The 16,108-nt window shown below is 58.8% G+C and overlaps 1 protein-coding gene across 121 annotated transcripts in view, besides 4 other annotated features; it reads left to right on the top strand.

The window, feature by feature from the left end:
- Nucleotides 1–15,720, top strand: part of RAP1GAP (RAP1 GTPase activating protein) — a 73,137-nt gene extending 57,417 nt beyond the window's left edge. For 17 of the 121 annotated variants that reach the window (NR_170928.1, NM_001388240.1, NM_001388241.1 and 14 more), the window contains 14 exons: nt 125–225; nt 360–489; nt 1,666–1,821; nt 2,295–2,366; nt 3,005–3,091; nt 3,591–3,728; nt 5,744–5,875; nt 9,028–9,137; nt 10,144–10,257; nt 12,324–12,447; nt 13,439–13,541; nt 13,877–13,980; nt 14,213–14,255; nt 14,677–15,720. Coding sequence is in view for 94 of the 121 variants with exons in the window: in NM_001388240.1 (NP_001375169.1) it covers nt 125–225; nt 360–489; nt 1,666–1,821; nt 2,295–2,366; nt 3,005–3,091; nt 3,591–3,728; nt 5,744–5,875; nt 9,028–9,137; nt 10,144–10,257; nt 12,324–12,447; nt 13,439–13,541; nt 13,877–13,980; nt 14,213–14,221 (1,380 nt within the window). In the remaining 27 variants the exon portion in view is untranslated. Of the gene's footprint in view, nt 1–124; nt 226–359; nt 490–1,665; nt 1,822–2,294; nt 2,367–2,635; nt 2,831–3,004; nt 3,092–3,590; nt 3,729–5,743; nt 5,876–8,028; nt 8,284–9,027; nt 9,138–10,101; nt 10,258–12,323; nt 12,448–13,438; nt 13,542–13,845; nt 13,981–14,212; nt 14,256–14,676 lie in introns of all 121 variants that reach the window. The other 104 variants (NM_001388223.1, NM_001388231.1, NM_001388233.1 and 101 more) reach the window with 35 other exon arrangements.
- Nucleotides 170–917: an enhancer, noted in NCBI's record as "H3K4me1 hESC enhancer chr1:21937517-21938264 (GRCh37/hg19 assembly coordinates)". NCBI's record gives its function as "activates a minimal SCP1, AML or CMV promoter by ChIP-STARR-seq in primed H9 embryonic stem cells {active_cell/tissue: H9 hESC(primed)}" and the evidence as "EXISTENCE:reporter gene assay evidence [ECO:0000049][PMID:30033119]".
- Nucleotides 3,751–4,045: an enhancer, noted in NCBI's record as "tiled region #12165; K562 Activating DNase matched - State 5:Enh". NCBI's record gives its function as "activates a minimal TATA promoter and a strong SV40 promoter by Sharpr-MPRA in K562 cells {active_cell/tissue: K562}" and the evidence as "EXISTENCE:reporter gene assay evidence [ECO:0000049][PMID:27701403]".
- Nucleotides 3,833–3,882: an enhancer, noted in NCBI's record as "active region_335". NCBI's record gives its function as "activates an Ori minimal core promoter by ATAC-STARR-seq in GM12878 lymphoblastoid cells {active_cell/tissue: GM12878}" and the evidence as "EXISTENCE:reporter gene assay evidence [ECO:0000049][PMID:35858748]".
- Nucleotides 9,464–9,693: a silencer, noted in NCBI's record as "fragment chr1:21928741-21928970 (GRCh37/hg19 assembly coordinates)". NCBI's record gives its function as "represses an EF-1alpha promoter that drives an FKBP-Casp9 reporter gene in an ReSE screen in HepG2 liver carcinoma cells {active_cell/tissue: HepG2}" and the evidence as "EXISTENCE:reporter gene assay evidence [ECO:0000049][PMID:32094911]".

Genomic DNA, 16,108 nt, shown 5'->3' with positions numbered 1-16,108 from the left:
AGGGACTCAGGAGCCCAGGGGCTGCCAGAGGTCCTCCCTCCGGCCCTCTCTGGGTCCAAGTAGGGACAGAGGGCAGGGGCTTCTCAGGAACTCCAGCTCAATGACCTTGGCCCCTCATCCCCAGACCTCCGAGGAAGAACTCTTCAGCACCAATGAGGAAAGTCCCGCTTTCGTGGAGTTCCTTGAATTTCTTGGCCAGAAGGTCAAACTGCAGGACTTTAAGGGGTGAGTATTAGGGTGGGCTGAGCAGAGTGTAATCTGACTTGTGCTCCTGGGCAGGGAGGGAGCCCCTGTCCTGGCCCCATGGAGGCCTGGCCAGGGCTGGAGACTGAGGCGTGGCCTGGGGGGCCCCGGGGCAGGTTCCGAGGAGGCCTGGACGTGACCCACGGGCAGACGGGGACCGAATCTGTGTACTGCAACTTCCGCAACAAGGAGATCATGTTTCACGTGTCCACCAAGCTGCCATACACGGAAGGGGACGCCCAGCAGGTAGCCTGGGCACCCCCACCTGCCTCCTGTCTTCCACCTGTCCTCCCCCTCCACCTGTCTGTTCAGCCTCCATCACGCCAGGCTCAGCGCTGGGCCCTGGGATGGAGATGGAAATGATCAGCGCCCCCACTTGTGGGGTCTCGTTGGGTCAGGGGAGACAGAAAGCCTTGGTTTCTACAGTCAGAATGGCACCCACTTCCTAGGTGAGCATAAATGCGTGGGTGCATAGAGGGACTAGAACAGTGCCTAGTACATTGCAAGAGTTCAGCAGATCTGAGCTGGTGTTTTATGGGGAGTGGAGAGCATCATGGGGTCATGTGGGGACATGTAGTCTTGGCAGAGGTGGGAGTCAGGAAAAGCTTTCAAGAGAAAGTGACTTTTAGTCCGTGAAGGAGCTGGGAGAAGGAAGGGAAATGTTCCAGGTGGCGAGAACAGCTTCTACAAAGGCCTGGACTCGAGGACATGCAAGGCATGTGCCAGGAACTGAACTCAGAAGCGTGTCCCCTTGTCCTGAGCCTCCTACAGGGCTATCTGCCTTCCCAGTCAGGTCCCCAGCCCAGGGGGATAAAAGGAAATGTGAGAAAAATGGAAATAGCTATTCCTTATTTTTAGTGTCTTTTGACTTTCGTTTACTAAGGGTCTGTGTTCATTTTAGCAACATGAATGTATACCAAGTTGAGCTTGTTTATTCAATTGGGGGCCATGTTTGGGGCATTGAGATAGGAGAAGGGCTGAGAGGTAGGGTCTGGGGACCAAGAGACCTGGGCTCGAGTCCCCAAGCTCATTATAGCTCATTATAGCACCTTCCAAGTCACTTCTCTCGGCCTTGATATCATCATCTGCCACAGCATCCCAAGAAAACTAAAATAATTTTTCTTGTAATTTCAATAGATATCCAGGTACAAGTGGGTTTTGGTTACATGGATGAATTGAATAGTGGTGAGGTCTGGGATATTAGTGTACCCTCATCACCTAAAGAGTGTACGTTGTTCCAAACAGGCCATTTTTCAACTAAAATAGTTTTAAGACAAGTTTTTTTGCTACATTATTTTGGGGAAAGCAAATCCTTAGATGTGCCCTCTGACTACCCCAAACCCTCCTAAACCCCCGTGGGCACCCCTCTCCCCCATGGGCCCCCTCTGGCCAGACCACGAAGGCCCGTGGCTTTGTGCTCAGTTGCAGCGGAAGCGGCACATCGGGAACGACATCGTGGCTGTGGTCTTCCAGGATGAGAACACTCCTTTCGTGCCCGACATGATCGCGTCCAACTTCCTGCATGCCTACGTCGTGGTGCAGGCTGAGGGCGGGGGCCCTGATGGCCCCCTCTACAAGGTGGGCGCTCTTGGAGCCTCCCAGGGGCATCAGCAAGGGCCCTGGCTGCAGCTCTGCCCTCCCTGGGATGCCCCTCTGAGCCTCACTTTTTCCAGCTATAATGGGGGGACCATGGAAGGCTTCAATGGTGCACTGTTCACACCACGCCCCCTGTCGTCCCCAAAGCTCACCCCCTCAGAGAGGACAGTTTCCCTCCTCTGCCTCCTGGCCTGGTATCACTGTCCTCCACCTCCCGTAGCCTCCTCTGCCTTCACCATCCCGATGATTCCTAAGGCCCCTACCCATCTCCACCACTAAAATTCAGGGCAAAAGATAGAGGGCAGAAATCTCTGGAAGAAAGATTCATCCAGCCCACAGTCACTGGGTCTCCCCGACCAAGGGGCAGTCCAGGGAGGCACAGTAGGGGTTTCTGGCTGGGTGGGGCAGAGCAGACCCCAGGCTCCACAGGAACAGACAGCTGCCCTCCCTTCCAGGTCTCTGTCACTGCAAGAGATGATGTGCCCTTCTTTGGACCCCCCCTCCCGGACCCCGCTGTGTTCAGGAAGGTGAGGGGCACCCCCCCAGTCATGGGCAGAGCAGGACAAATGGGTGGGGGCCTGGGGGGTGCATACACATTCTGCCTTATGAGGTCCCAAAGTCTCATTGTATGCCAGGGCAGCTGGGCTCCCCTAACTGCAACCGGGGCCTGGCTTTTCCATTCATCTTGAAAACACCTTTTTTTTTTTTTTCACAAGGTCACAGGATAAACTACACGATTGTTTTACACTTTCCATAGTAGACTGGCCTCTCCTCATTTCTGTTCTCTTTCTGACAGTTCCAGTCTCTTTCTTTCTTCTAAAATGTTTGGGGAGGGGCACACTTCAAGCCTGGGCTTCAGCTCTGTACGTAGCGTGTTCTGCTACCCTAGACTGAAGCAGTAGGTTGAGACCCCAACCCAGACCCTAACATCTGTGGAGTTTGCTCTCCCGAAGGCGTGGGCAGCCATGAAGGGCACTGGGGCCCCTTGAAGGTACCTGGGGAGCTGAGCCCAGGGAGATACCCTTTTGGGAGTGAAGAGGGTGACCCCAGGCCCCAGCAGAGCATGGTTCAGGAGCTGCAGCCTCTGCCTCGTTGGGGTTCCGACCCTTGTTTATGTGTCATCTCAACTTCCCTTCCTTATCTCCTCCACACTGGGAGTTTCCAGGGGCCTGAGTTCCAGGAATTTTTGCTGACAAAGCTGATCAATGCTGAATATGCCTGCTACAAGGCAGAGAAGTTTGCCAAACTGGAGGTGAGGATGGGCTGTGAGGGCTGGGTGACCCTCTTCTCACCTTCCAACCTATAACTTCAGCCCTGTCCCTGGGAAGGGAAAAGCCATGTTCAGACCTTGGCCTTAGCGGGGACACCTGGGGCTGGATGGATTGATGGACGAGTAGGAGGTCGGGGAGAGGAAGCCGGAGGGATACTGAGGAGTTCCCAGGAGATGCTGGGAGGCGGTTAGGCTGACAGGGACACCTTGGGACCTGTCAGGTGGGGGGGTGGACCTGGGGGGTGGGGACATGAAGCCAGATCTTGAAGGGGCTTTGAGGGGCCCTTCATATGAGGGTCCCTGGGGGATGCTTGAGCTGTGGAGTGGCCTGGGGGAAGGCGGTGCAGGAGCCCTCCGCCCTCCCCACTCCCCACTCATTCAGAGAAGGTGGCCCGTGCCTCAGAAGGTGGCCAGGATTTGAACTGTGGGCCGAAGGGCTGATCCTTGGGGTCCCTCCTGACGGCCCGGGCCTGGCCCACAGGAGCGGACGCGGGCCGCCCTCCTGGAGACGCTCTATGAGGAACTACACATCCACAGCCAGTCCATGATGGGCTTGGGCGGCGACGAGGACAAGATGGAGAATGGCAGTGGGGGCGGCGGCTTCTTTGAGTCTTTCAAGGTGAAGGGCCCCAGGTCTAACTGGCCGGGGAGCAGGGACGTGGCTAGGGCGGAATCCCGGGCTGAGGCTGATAGACTGATGGACACGGCGTGGGGGTGGAGTCTGGCAGAAGGGGCGTGGCTGAGGGGGTGGAGTCCCGGACTGGGGGATTGACACAGCATGGGGAGTGCAGCTAGAGGCCGTTCGCATTGGAGTCTGAGAGGGGGCGTGGCTGGGGCGAAGTCCCGGACTGGGGCTGATTGACATGGTGTGGAGGTGTGGCTAGAGGCCGCTCGCCTGCGGGTAGAGTCTGGGATGGGACGTGGCTGGGGGTGGAGTCAGGGGCCGGGGCTAATGGACATGGCGTGGGGGTGTGGCTAGAGGAGGCTCTAGTCTGGGATGAGGGCGGGGCTCGAAGTGGACTTGGGCTTTAGAATGGGCTTACACTTGGGGACATAGTCTGCCTTGGGTAGAGTTTGAAGGAGCAGCATGTAAGGTGGGGCCCTGGCTTGGGGAGGAGTAACTGTTGGAGGTGGGGCCTAGGTGGGGAATTCACCTGGGAATTCTGCTGAAGGGTGGAGGATTCTGGGAGACAGCAAGGGCTGCTGGTACAAAGGCTGCTAGGTCAGCAGGAAGAGAAGAGAGGAAGAGGCTCTGTCTTGACTGAGGGAAAGAAATAGAGTTCTCAGAAGAGGTGTGTGAACCATGATCATTGGAGAGGGACTTGGCCTGTGTGACCTACCCTGCCTGTCCCTGGTTTAGCTTAGCATTAAGAGCACGGACACTTCAAATTTCAGCTCTGTTACTTACCAGCTTGGGCATTCTGTGAGCATCAGTTTCTTTATCTGTTGAGTAGGGTAATGGCAACTTGCCTCATACAGTTATTGTTATCTGTAAAAGAGTTAGGTTAGTGCAATACAAGTTTAAAAGCAAAATGCAAAACCTTGCCTGTCTGCCTCAGCAAATGTTGTCTGAAATGAGAAGTGTGGGGAGTGGAGTAGTTCCTGGACAGGGTCTGGACTCACTCAGGCCACAGGGCCCCAGGTGGTAGCCTTTTTGCCACCGTCTCCTCCACCCACAGGAGGATAACTGCCCATCCTCCAGCTTCCCGGCCGGCTGGTCACACCTCACCCTCAACCCAGGACAGGTCACACAGCTGGAGCTATGGGTTGGAATAAGGGAATTAGCCCGGCTGCCCAGGCCTGCCCAGGAACTGAGGTGAACAGATCGTCTTTGAGAAAGAGGCTTGGGGACTGGAGACAGGACAGGTGGGGTCAATATGGATCTGGGGTGTCTCCTTTGAGGAGGGCTCCGATGGTCCCACATCTGGTAGGTGCTGGACGGTGGACCTAGATTAGGTCAAAGAATTTCTCAGAAGCAGCGGAGTCCAGAGTTGAGGGCATGGGTCCTGGCATGCCGGGCTCACCCCTGCCTCAGTTGGCATGAAATGGGCATGATTGCTAGTCCCCATCTTGCAGGGGGATCCAGTGATAGAGTGATTGTAAAGCGCTGGTCCCATAGCAAGCATTTGGTGTAGATTGGTCTGAAAAAAACAAGGAAAGAGGGTGGGAGGGAAGAAAAGAAAGAAGGCAGGAGAGCTCTAAGAGGCCCTAACAGGAATGAAACTGAGGTGTCAAGAGGGCTCTCTGTGCACACTTTTGGCCATGACCCAGTGTCTTCTGCAGTCCTTACGCAGCCACATGAGGACACTCAGCACAGAGCAGCCTGTGTGTCCCAGAGAGTGAGAGAACTGAAGTGGTGTCCCCAAGGCCACCCGGCAAGTTGGTGGCAGAGCCAATACCTGAGCTACCCTTAGGCCCCGTATGTACCTGCTTCTCATGTGACGCACAGGGAAATTGAGGCCTGGCCCCACCTCCCTCTGTTGCCCTGCTGGCCACATGCCCAGGGGAAGGGATTTCCAGGGCTTACCCAGAGTGGCATTGCTGGGGAGAGACCAGATGCCTGGGCTCCTGGGTTTCCCCAAGGGGACGGCCCTTAGGAATCCTGTGCCTCCTCCACTGCCACCCCCTTCACAGCGGGTCATCCGGAGCCGCAGCCAGTCCATGGATGCCATGGGGCTGAGCAACAAGAAGCCCAACACCGTGTCCACCAGCCACAGCGGGAGCTTCGCGCCCAACAACCCCGACCTGGCCAAGGCGGCTGGAATAGTGAGTGCCCTCCCCCTCCCCAGGCCCCGGCCCCTCCCTGGGGGGCCCTCAGCTCTCCTCTGCCTCCTGAGGCCTGACTCCAACTCTCTCTGTTGCCCTGCTGCCCACATGCCCATCCTAGGCTCTGGATTTGGTCTAGCCACTACTTTCCATGGGAGGGGGGTGAAGTGCCCAGGCCAGGACACTGCGGTGCTGACAGCTTGCAGCCTGCAGCCCCTTCCCAAGCTCCTTGGCCCTCCCCTCCTCCTGGCCCTTTATGCATTGAGGTGTGACTTCCTGCAGGTCAGCCCTGGGACAGCCTCTGTGTCTCATTCCTTATTGAGTATCTATCTGTTTGCTGGGGACTGGGCTGCTGTGTGGGCACCTACTGTCAAGCCTTGGGTTTCTGGGAGCACCTACTGTGTGTCGGGCTGTGGGCACCCACTGTGTGTCAGGCCCTGGGCTGCTGTGTGGACATGCACTCTGTGAGCATCTACTGTGGGCCTGGCCCTGAGTACCTGTGAGCACCCACTGTGTGTCAGGTCCTGGGCTGCTGTGTGGGCATCAACTCTGTGAGCGCCTACTGTGTGCGCAGCCCTGGGCTGCTGTGTGAGAACCTACTGTGTGTCAGAAAATGGACTGCTATGTGAGCACATCGTGTGTGATAAGCCCTAGATGTCAGTGAACACCTACTGTGTGTCAGGAAGTGAGCTGTTGTGTGGGTACTTTCTCTGTGAGCACCTCCTACTGTGTGTCCGCAGCAGCCAGGGCCTCTGTGGTGTGGCTGCCTATTGTGTGTCGGGAATCTGGCTTCTGTGTGAGCATCTCCAGAGGGAGCACCTCCTGTGTGATCACTGACTGTTGTCCAGGTTCTGGGATTCTGCTGCTCACACTCAGGAGTGCTGGGCACATGGATGAATACGGCCTATGGCTGTGGGCCTCACTGCTGTCCACTGCCTAGTGGCCACCCCAGGACACTGCACCCACTGCTGTGCTCCCCACCCATCCATCCAGCCACCCATCCATCCACCCACCCATCCATCCATCCACCCACCCATCCACCCATCTAGCTATCCACCCACCCACCCATCCACCCACCTACCCATCTACCCATCCACCCACCCACCCACTCATCCATCCACCCACCCATCCACCCACCCATCCACCCATCAATCCATCCATCCACCCACCCATCCACCCATCCATCCATCCATCCATCCATCCATCCATCCATCCATCCATCTCTATCCATCCCTCTATCTCCATCCATCCATCCACCCACCCACCGATCCATCCATCCATCCATCCATCCTTTATTGACTGTCTACTGCATGCCAAGCCCTGCGCTCAGTGCTGTGAGGCTATGTCACGTGGCAGGAGGGAATTCCCCGACCTCTGCTGTCCAGCAGTCACCAAGCACACTGTCATGCGAGGAGCAGGCCCAACCTCCCCCAACCCAGTTTTATCAACCACTCCCTTCCTCTCCACCAGAGTGACCCAGCCTCCTGTGGGTGGCCGAGAGGGGCCCCAGGGACAGGACCAGGCCAGCAGCACCCACCATGGCAGTAACCGGACCCATTTCTGTTTTGTTTTTGCACAACTCTCCCTCTCTCTGTGTTTCCTCCTTTCATTCTACTCTCTCTCCTTGTTTTTTTGTTCCCTCCTCCCTTCCCTTTCCCCGTCCTGTGGCCTCTCTGCCCTTTGGCTCTCTGTTTCTCCTTCCTTCTTGCACCTGTCTTTTTTGCTCCCTCTCCTCCTTCCCTTCTCCGCTCTTCTCACCCTCGCTTTTTCCTTTCGGCCTTCCCCTGGCTTCCTTCTCTGTCTCTGACCCTCCCTGGGCCTGTGTCTGTGTCCTTGCGTCCCTGTCTCTCTGGATTTCCCTCTGTGCCCATCTGGTGTGCCCTCGCTGGCTCACGCGTGTCCCTGTCTCCGGGTAACTGTCTGTCCATCTCTCCCCCGTCTCCCTTGTCCTCTGTCTCTCCTTGTGCTTCTCGCCTTCCTTTCCCCGGCCCTATCTCTCCCATTGCCTCCTGCACCGTTCTCTTCCTTTTTCTGTCTGTCTTCCTCCTTTCCCTGCCTCTCCTCCTCTCTGTGTCTCCCTCCCACCATCTCTCTTGCTCTCTGACTCTCTCTCTGTCTCTCTCTCTCTGCCCCCGCCCTCTGCTGCTTGCCAGTCATTGCTTATTCCTGGGAAAAGTGCGAGTAGATTCGGACGCCGGGGCAGTGCCATAGGCATAGGAACCGTGGAAGAGGTTGTCGTCCGCGGGGCCGCCGGCTCTGGAGGCTGCCTGCACGCGCTGTTCTCTGCTCGCTCTCAGGACGGAGGCCATATTGGGGACGTTGCCCCTCTGCCCCCGGGACAGGCCCCAGGGCGTGCGGGATGGAGTGGCGGCAGCTCCGATGGCACTCAGCACCTGCTTTGGGGCCTGGTACCTGTGCCAGAGCCAGTGCCCCTCACCAGGGGCTTCTGGCCCTGCCTTGGCCCCTGGGACCCTGGCCCAGTCCCTGCCAGGATCCGGTACCCAAAGGCCCTACACCCAGCCGCACGTCCCCCAATATCGCCGGTCTGCATGGAGCGCCATCCCTCTCCTCTGCCCTGACTCCTCCTCCCCGCCACGAAGTGACCTGGGGTCCTACCCCTTCCTGCCTCCAGAGAAGCTGGGGGCGGGCTTCTGGGGCCTGGGGCATCCCAGCACAGTGTGTGGGAAGCTGGGGGAGTCTTCCAGCTGCTGGGCCAGAACCTCCCCCAGCCAATTTGGAGGTTCCGGGGAGGGGCCCTAGCTGGCACGGGGTGGGACTTGGGTTGCTACACTGCCCTCTGACCACTGCCCTTAGGCTGCAGATCCCACAGAGCCCTGGGGGGCGGGGAGCGGTAGCCATTCTGAGGACTCGGCCTCCTCCCACCCTAGCCCCCTCAGGATGCTGTCCTAATCCTGGGCCAGTATTGACGTGCAGTCCTGCCGTGTGAGCTCGGGAGAGCCCCTTGCCCTCCTGGGGACTGTTTCCCTTTCGTAAACTGGGAGGCTGTCTCTGGGAATGGATATCTTCTCTCGTTCTTTCTTGCTCATCAACTCTGCTTCAGGGCCTGGGGCAGCAGGATCCCCAGAGGGGATGTGGGGGGGGCACTGGGGCTCCCAGGTAAGGTGGCACTGAGTTGGGGCCTCTCCCCACAGTCACTGATTGTCCCTGGGAAGAGCCCCACGAGGAAGAAGTCGGGCCCGTTCGGCTCCCGCCGCAGCAGCGCCATTGGCATCGAGAACATACAGGAGGTGCAGGAGAAGAGGTGGGTGAGTGGGGGACAGTGCCCCATTCCCCTGCATCCCCATCCCTGAGCCCCATTCGGTGGCAAAGCAAGGCAGGCAGAAGGGAGTGCCCGCCCCTCTGCCTCTCCATCCCCACTAGTGACAGCTGTGTGGTCAAGTCCCTGCTGCGTGTCGGGCACCAGGGCCAGCACGTCACCTAACGTGCCACATGCAGATCAAGAAGCGGTAGGTCAGAGGAGTCAAGGGGCTTGCCCAGATCACACAGCCAGTGATGGGCAGAGCTAGGATCTGAGCCCTGATCTGTCTAGGGCCAGCATCCGTGCTCTTCCCACGGCCCCAGCGCATGTGGGAGGGCCTAGTGCTGGTTTTCAGGGTGGCCACAGATGGGCCTGGGGGGTCCATGAGTGTGGGCAGCATGAGGGCAGTGAGCCCAGGCCAGCAGCAGGGCTGCCCCCGGACATCAGAGGCTAGCTCCCGGCTGCCTCCCCGATATTAACCATGTGTGACCTTGGGCGAGTCACTGACCTCCTCTGAGCCTTACTGTCCCAACCTGGAAAAGGGACAAGAACACAACCCATGGCATGGGGCTGCTGTGGGGACTCAGGGCACTGCGTGTGAGGCCAGGGCCAGGTCCCCTGAGAGGGCTCCAGGACGGGAGTGGGCATTGTCCTTGCTGCTGCCAGAGCTCCGCATGCTGTGAGTCCTGGGTTCAGGTCTTGGCACTGCCACGTCCTAGCTGTGCGTCCCTGGGCAGGTTCCTTATCCATAATGGGACAGCTATACCTGCTCCTGTGGAGAGGACCTGGGAGGAGTCCCATCCTGTCCCATATAGCCCCATCAGTGCCAACCCCATCACTGGCCAGGCTAGCCAGGGAGCCCACAAGACTGCTCCAGGGCTGGCCCTGAGTATAGGGGCGTGGGTATGAGGCAGGAGGCACCGTGACTCCCCTCACCGCCTGGGCCTCACGCTACGCCTGATGCCAGGCCTGGTGCTGAATCCCCCCGCTGCCCCCGTGTGCCCCGCAGGGAGAGCCCTCCGGCTGGTCAGAAGACCCCAGACAGCGGGCACGTCTCACAGGAGCCCAAGTCGGAGAACTCATCCACTCAGAGCTCCCCAGAGATGCCCACGACCAAGAACAGGTTGGGGCTCAGGGCACGTGGGGCTTGGGGGCTTGGGAGTGGTGAACCGTCCTTCCCCTCCCCTGCCTGGGCCCGGGACAGCACAGGAGCCTTGACTGTGCCACAGCAGGGTGTCAGGGGGACCTGGGCATTCTCTGGGGCCCTCCTTTGACATATACCCAGCGAGCACTTTGTGCACGCCCAGCCCCGCGCCCGGCTCTGGAGCACAGAGGTGCCCTGCGCATAGGTCCCCGCCTCACGGCCGCAGGTCCATCAGAACGCGGCCTCATAGGCTGTTGCCGGATCATGGTGATAGGAGGAACCCGAAGCAGGGTTGGGGGGATGAAGAGGGACTGGGGGCAGAGGTGTTTTAGATGGGTCCTCGGGGAGACACCTCCATGGGGTGACATTTGAATTGGGAACTGAACCAGCCCTGCTAGGACTGGCATGGCAGAGGAGCTCGGCCAGTGCAGAGGCCTGGGGCACACTCCAGGGACAGAAAGAAGGGTGGCTGGGAGTGGTGACGTATGCCTGGAGTCCACCTACCTGGGAGGCTGAAGCAGGAGGATGATTTTAGCCCAGGAGTTGGAGGCTGCAGTGAGCTATGATCATGCCTGTGAATAGCCACTGCACTCTAGCCTGGACATCATAGCAAGACTCCATTGCTTAAAAAAAAAAAAAAGAGTATCTGAGGGGCTGGGCCTGGACAGACATTGTGACATTGTGCTGGGTGGTGGCGGGAAGGAGGTTGGAGAGGTGGGCAGACACTGGCTTATAGCTTAGCAGGCTGTACAAGAGCTTTGACTTTTTTTTTTTTTTTGAGACAGAGTCTTGCTCTGTCTCCCAGGCTGGAGTGCAGTGGCACAATCTCGGCTCACTGCAAGCTCCACCTCCCGGGTTCACGCCATTCTCCTGCCTCAGCCCCCCAAGTAGCTGGGACTACAGGTGCCCGCCACCATGCCCATCTAATTTTTGTATTTTTAGTAGATACGGGGTTTCACCGTGTTAGCCAGGATGGTCTTGATCTCCCGATCTCGTGATCCGCCCGCCTCAGCCTCCCAAAGTGCTGGGATTACAGGCGTGAGCCACTGCGCCCAGCCTAAGAGCTTTGACTTTTATCCTAAGTGTGACAGGGAACCTTGGGAGGATTTTAATTACGAGGGCGATGCTTTAAGAAGCTGACTTCGGTTGCTGTACAAAGAGGCTGGAGTGGGGTGGGATGGAAGCAGAGAGGCCAGTGAGGAAACTGTCCCTGCATTTGGTGTCCGTTGGCTGAGCTGCCTCTGTGTTGGGCTCTGTGGGAATCAAGAGGACTCAGCCCAGGCTAAAGAGCCGGGTAGGTGAACAGAGAGGCAGGAAAGGGTGGCAGGGACCAGGGAGACGCAGTATGCAGGAGCCAGAGTGGGGAGGGTCATTCTCACCTTGGGAGGAGGAATCAGGGAAGGACTCCTGGAGCGAGAGCCCTAGGCTGATTTTTTAAAGGCACATTTGCTTTTCGGGATTTGAGAGGACTGAGACTCCAGGCAGGAGGCATAGAGGCCCTGAGCATGAAAACCTTGTGGGATTAAGAGAGTAGACTGTGGAGTTGCCTGGACCTCAACCCCTGCCCTCCCACCTGTGCTGAGTGACCCTGGGCTGTGTGCCTGTCCCCTCTGTGCCTGGTGTCATCTCATCTGGAAGATGGGTATAATAATCATAGCGATAAGATAATTCAGGTAAAGGCACGTAGAGCAGTGCCCGGTGCAGAGTGAACGTGCACCCGATGATGTTAGTGTCGCTAACCGCTGCTGTTTTTGAACACCACGCCAAGGATATTGTGCTTTACCTGGGGAAATGGGAGGCCAGGAGAGGGTTTTGAGCAGGGGAGGGACGTGGTCAGATTTATGGATTAGGAAGGACAATGCGGGTAGGAGGAGGCTGCAGGGGGAGTCTGGGGGGCTCAGAGGCCCAAGGATCTGTAAGGGGTCCTCAAAGGTGCTTGGCTGCTACCAGCTGGGCCTCCCGGGTTGGGGAGGGCAAGGGAGTGAGGGCCTGGCCCAGGAGGGGCTCGGGGTGGACACCGGCTAATGGGGCACTGTCTGTGGCAGAGCGGAGACCGCAGCGCAGAGAGCAGAGGCGCTCAAGGACTTCTCCCGCTCCTCGTCCAGTGCCAGCAGCTTCGCCAGCGTGGTGGAGGAGACGGAGGGTGTGGACGGAGAGGACACAGGCCTGGTGAGAGGCTCAGGGGGGTCAGGGGCCCCACAGGAGCTTGGAAGGGGGCTCTTTGGTCCCTGGAGATGCCCTGAGTAGAACCACGAGCCTGGGCGTGGCTGAGATGTGATCAGGGGACCCGGCCCAAAGGAGCAGTGCAGACGAACCCTCCCCTGCTCAGAAGCCTTCCACGGCTCCCCAGCACTGTCCACAGGAAGCTCAGTCTCTGGAGCTCTTGGAGATCTGGTCACTCCCTTCCTCTCTAGTCTCCTCTCTTACCACTTCAGACATTCTGTACTCCGTTGCAGTCCCCCAAGCCTCCCAGGCTCACTGCACCCCTGGCCCTTTGCGCATGTGCCATCTCTTCTGTCTGGAACACTCTTCCTGCCGCCTCCTCCTTTCTTTGCCAGGCTGGCTCTGACTCATCCTTTTTGACTGAGTCTCACACACCTCCTCCTGAAAGCCTTCCCTGATTTCCTAATCTCGGGGTAGGTTAGGAAGCCCCTTTACGTTCTCACAGTCCTCGGGCTTTGCCCGGAACACCCTTTATCATTCTTCATTCTGCAAACCATCAGTGGGCCCCTGTTCCTTGCCAAGCGCTGCCCCAGATACAACAGATACAGCTGGGAACAGTGCAGACCCAGGCCCTGCCTGCTGGGGCACAGAGTCTAGAATTGCAATGGTCTCTTCACAGCCTGCCTTGCCTCCCAGATATCAGGCTCCTGAGGGCAGGGCCCATGCCTGATTTATGTCAGTGGCAAGCCCTGGAGAACATCAGTGAATGTTTGTTGAGTGAGTGAGTGGCAGTGGGTGGCGTGTGCCTGGGTCTGTGCCTGCCCTGACTCTGCCCTCCTGTGGTCTCCCTGGGGCAGACATGGCTAGGCCCGTCCTCCTCGCAGAGGGTACGGGTGGGGGGTTGTGGAATGCAGTGAGGGAGAGGGGCTGGGAGGGAGCCCTAGCCAGTGCCAAGGGCATAGGCTAACCTCCCTCCCTCTTTCCACCCCCTCCCCAGGAGAGCGTGTCATCCTCAGGAACACCCCACAAGCGGGACTCCTTCATCTATAGCACGTGGCTGGAGGACAGTGTCAGCACCACTAGTGGGGGCAGCTCCCCAGGTACCAGGACAAGGCAGCTTCCCCACAAAGCAGGGCTACCTTGGGGTAGGAGGGGGACAGGGCTGGGCACCAGTTCCCATGCCCCATGCAGTGGATGTGATGTGACTGCCCCTGACTTGGAGGACAGCGGGCAGGTCATTGTCCAGCCTAGGGTGGCTGGGTGGATTGGAGGGCTGGTTTCTTCCGGAAGGGTCTCGGAGGATAATGGGGGATGGCAAGGAAGAAAGTTAAGGGTGGGGTTGGAGCGCACTGGTGCCGACCGCCCACCTATGCCCCCGTCTCCCTGGTGCCTCCCCGCGGCCAGTGAGGTGGCTCCCTCCTGCCCCCCTCCCCAGGCCCCTCTCGATCACCCCACCCAGACGCCGGCAAGTTGGGGGACCCTGCGTGTCCCGAGATCAAGATCCAGCTGGAAGCATCTGAGCAGCACATGCCCCAGCTGGTACGTGCAGCCTCCTGGGGCTGGTGCTGAGGGAGCCCCACCCGGGAGGGGATGAGCTGGCGGGGAGGCTGGGAGCTGAGGCTCGACCAAGAGGTCCCCCTAGGCCCCGCTAGGCCAGGAGGGGTGGGGCTTGCCCGGCCTGGACACAGCCAGTGACTTTGTGCACCTGTGTCTCCCGCCCCGTTGCTTCTCCCGTCTTGCCACCTGCCTCACCACCACTGTCTGTCTGCAGGGCTGTTAGCCGGGCCACCCCCTCTGAAGGTGAAACTGAGCAGGTTAGACCCAGCCCCTCAGCTTGTGTTTGGTGGGAGAGGGTGGGGGTGTGTAGAGGGCTGAGCTGATTCCTCCCTGTTCTTCTGTCACCTCTCTGGGGTGGGAGCTATGTATCTGGGTTTGAGCCCCCTGGTCCTCAGTTGCTGGGTGACTTGGGCAGGCCACGGCCCTTCCCCGTGACCTCTGCCCTTGCATTGTTGGAGGATTTGATGGGAGTGTGAAAGGGACTTGGCAGTTGCCAGGTGGGGAGAAGTTTCAGGGGTTCCCAATGGGATGGAAAGACCTGGAGCCTGGAATTCCAAGGGTGGGCCCCTCCCAGGGTGGGGTTCTCTGAGGCAGGGACTTGGCAGAGTTGGGGCACACTGGTGCCAGCCACCCACCATGCCATGTTTCATGGTGTCTCCATCCCCCTTTGCCCTGCAGATGAGGCCACAGAAGCACAAGGGGAAGGTGCCGTGTCAAGCCCAGGCAGACGAGACCTCTGCCCTGAAGACCAACACCAGCCCGTGGGCTGCCCCCTGCCTCCCCACCCTCCCCATGGCCCACCCATCTGGGCTGTCTCTGCAGGGCAGAGCCGTCCAGACCTGGGATCAGGGAAGCTGCTGGCATCGTCCCCACCCCCAGCCTGGGGGTCTGGGCTGGGGCAGGGATTGCTCAGTGGAAGCAGGACTGGGGGTCTGGCTTGCCCCCTCCCTGGGCCTCCATCACCCCTGAGCATCCCTCTGGACTCAGAGGGAACAAGGTGGGAGAGAGAGTTTGAGACAGCTCCGTGTGGAGAGCTTAGCCCCTGGAGGCAGCACAAGGAGGATGTGATATGTGGGGGAGTGAGCACTGGGTTGGGAGCCGGGTCCTGGTTTCCAATTTGGGTTCTGCTGTGTGACTCTGGGCAAGTCACTCTCCCTCTCTGGGCATGTCTGCTACAAATGGACAAGATTATTTCAGAGGTCACTGAAGACTGTGATTACATGCACCTGCCTTAGAAGGTAGGATTTTCTTCCCAGGGACCTCCTATCACCCTACCCTGCTTCTTGAGGTCCCTGGAGCCCCAGGTGGGCTGAGGGGCAGGGAGCCGGCTGTGCCCAGTATGCCTCCTGGACCCTCCAGTTCTGCCACAGGTCTGCCGATGCCCTGTCCACTGCCTACACATGACAGACAAGTAACCCCCTCATGGGGGATGGGGACCTACCTGGCTCCTCAGCCAGCACCCAGCTTAACCCCTGCCATCCCATGCTGGGCCCTCCAGGCCAAGAGTCTCAGCTGGCCGAGAGTCCAGGCCTTGCCTCCCCCGACCGCCATGGAGGGGGCAGCCCGGCACAGCTGCTGGGAGCCCTTGTGTGTCTGGTCACACTTTTTAGGCGTCACGCCAAAGGCCAGCCTCCTGGCCCCAATACCCATTTTGGAAGCCCCTGTGGCCGTGTGGATGTCGGTAACAGTTGTATAAAATAAATTCTATTTATCGCTATTGTACCCAGAGTTGGGCCTGGCTTTGTGTGAACCGTGGCCAGATTGACCCCAGACAGATGTCCAGGGATGTCAAGGTGGCAGGGAGCAAGCCTGTCCCCATCAGAGCTGCTGGGCCTGGGGACACCTCCAAAGCCAAGCCACCAGCTCTGTGAGCACCGCCCGTGGTTTCCTCCCCGGGGTGCTGTCCTTCCCTGCATCCTGGGCCCCTTCCCCACTGCAGGAAGAACATGGCTGTGCTGTCAGGCAGACCTAGGTTTGAGTCCTGGGACCGTCTCTTGTTAGCTGGGTGGGTGGCGTTGAGAAACTTACTAGCTTCCGTGAGCCTCAGTGTTTCCTTTTGTAAAATAGGAGTGGTAGTGTTTCTCCCAAGGGTTTGTTGTGAGGATTCAAT

The sequence above is a fragment of the Homo sapiens genome, chromosome 1, assembly GCF_000001405.40.
Source record: "Homo sapiens chromosome 1, GRCh38.p14 Primary Assembly".
NCBI lineage: Eukaryota > Metazoa > Chordata > Mammalia > Primates > Hominidae > Homo > Homo sapiens.
This window is presented reverse-complemented; position numbering and strand designations above follow the sequence as displayed.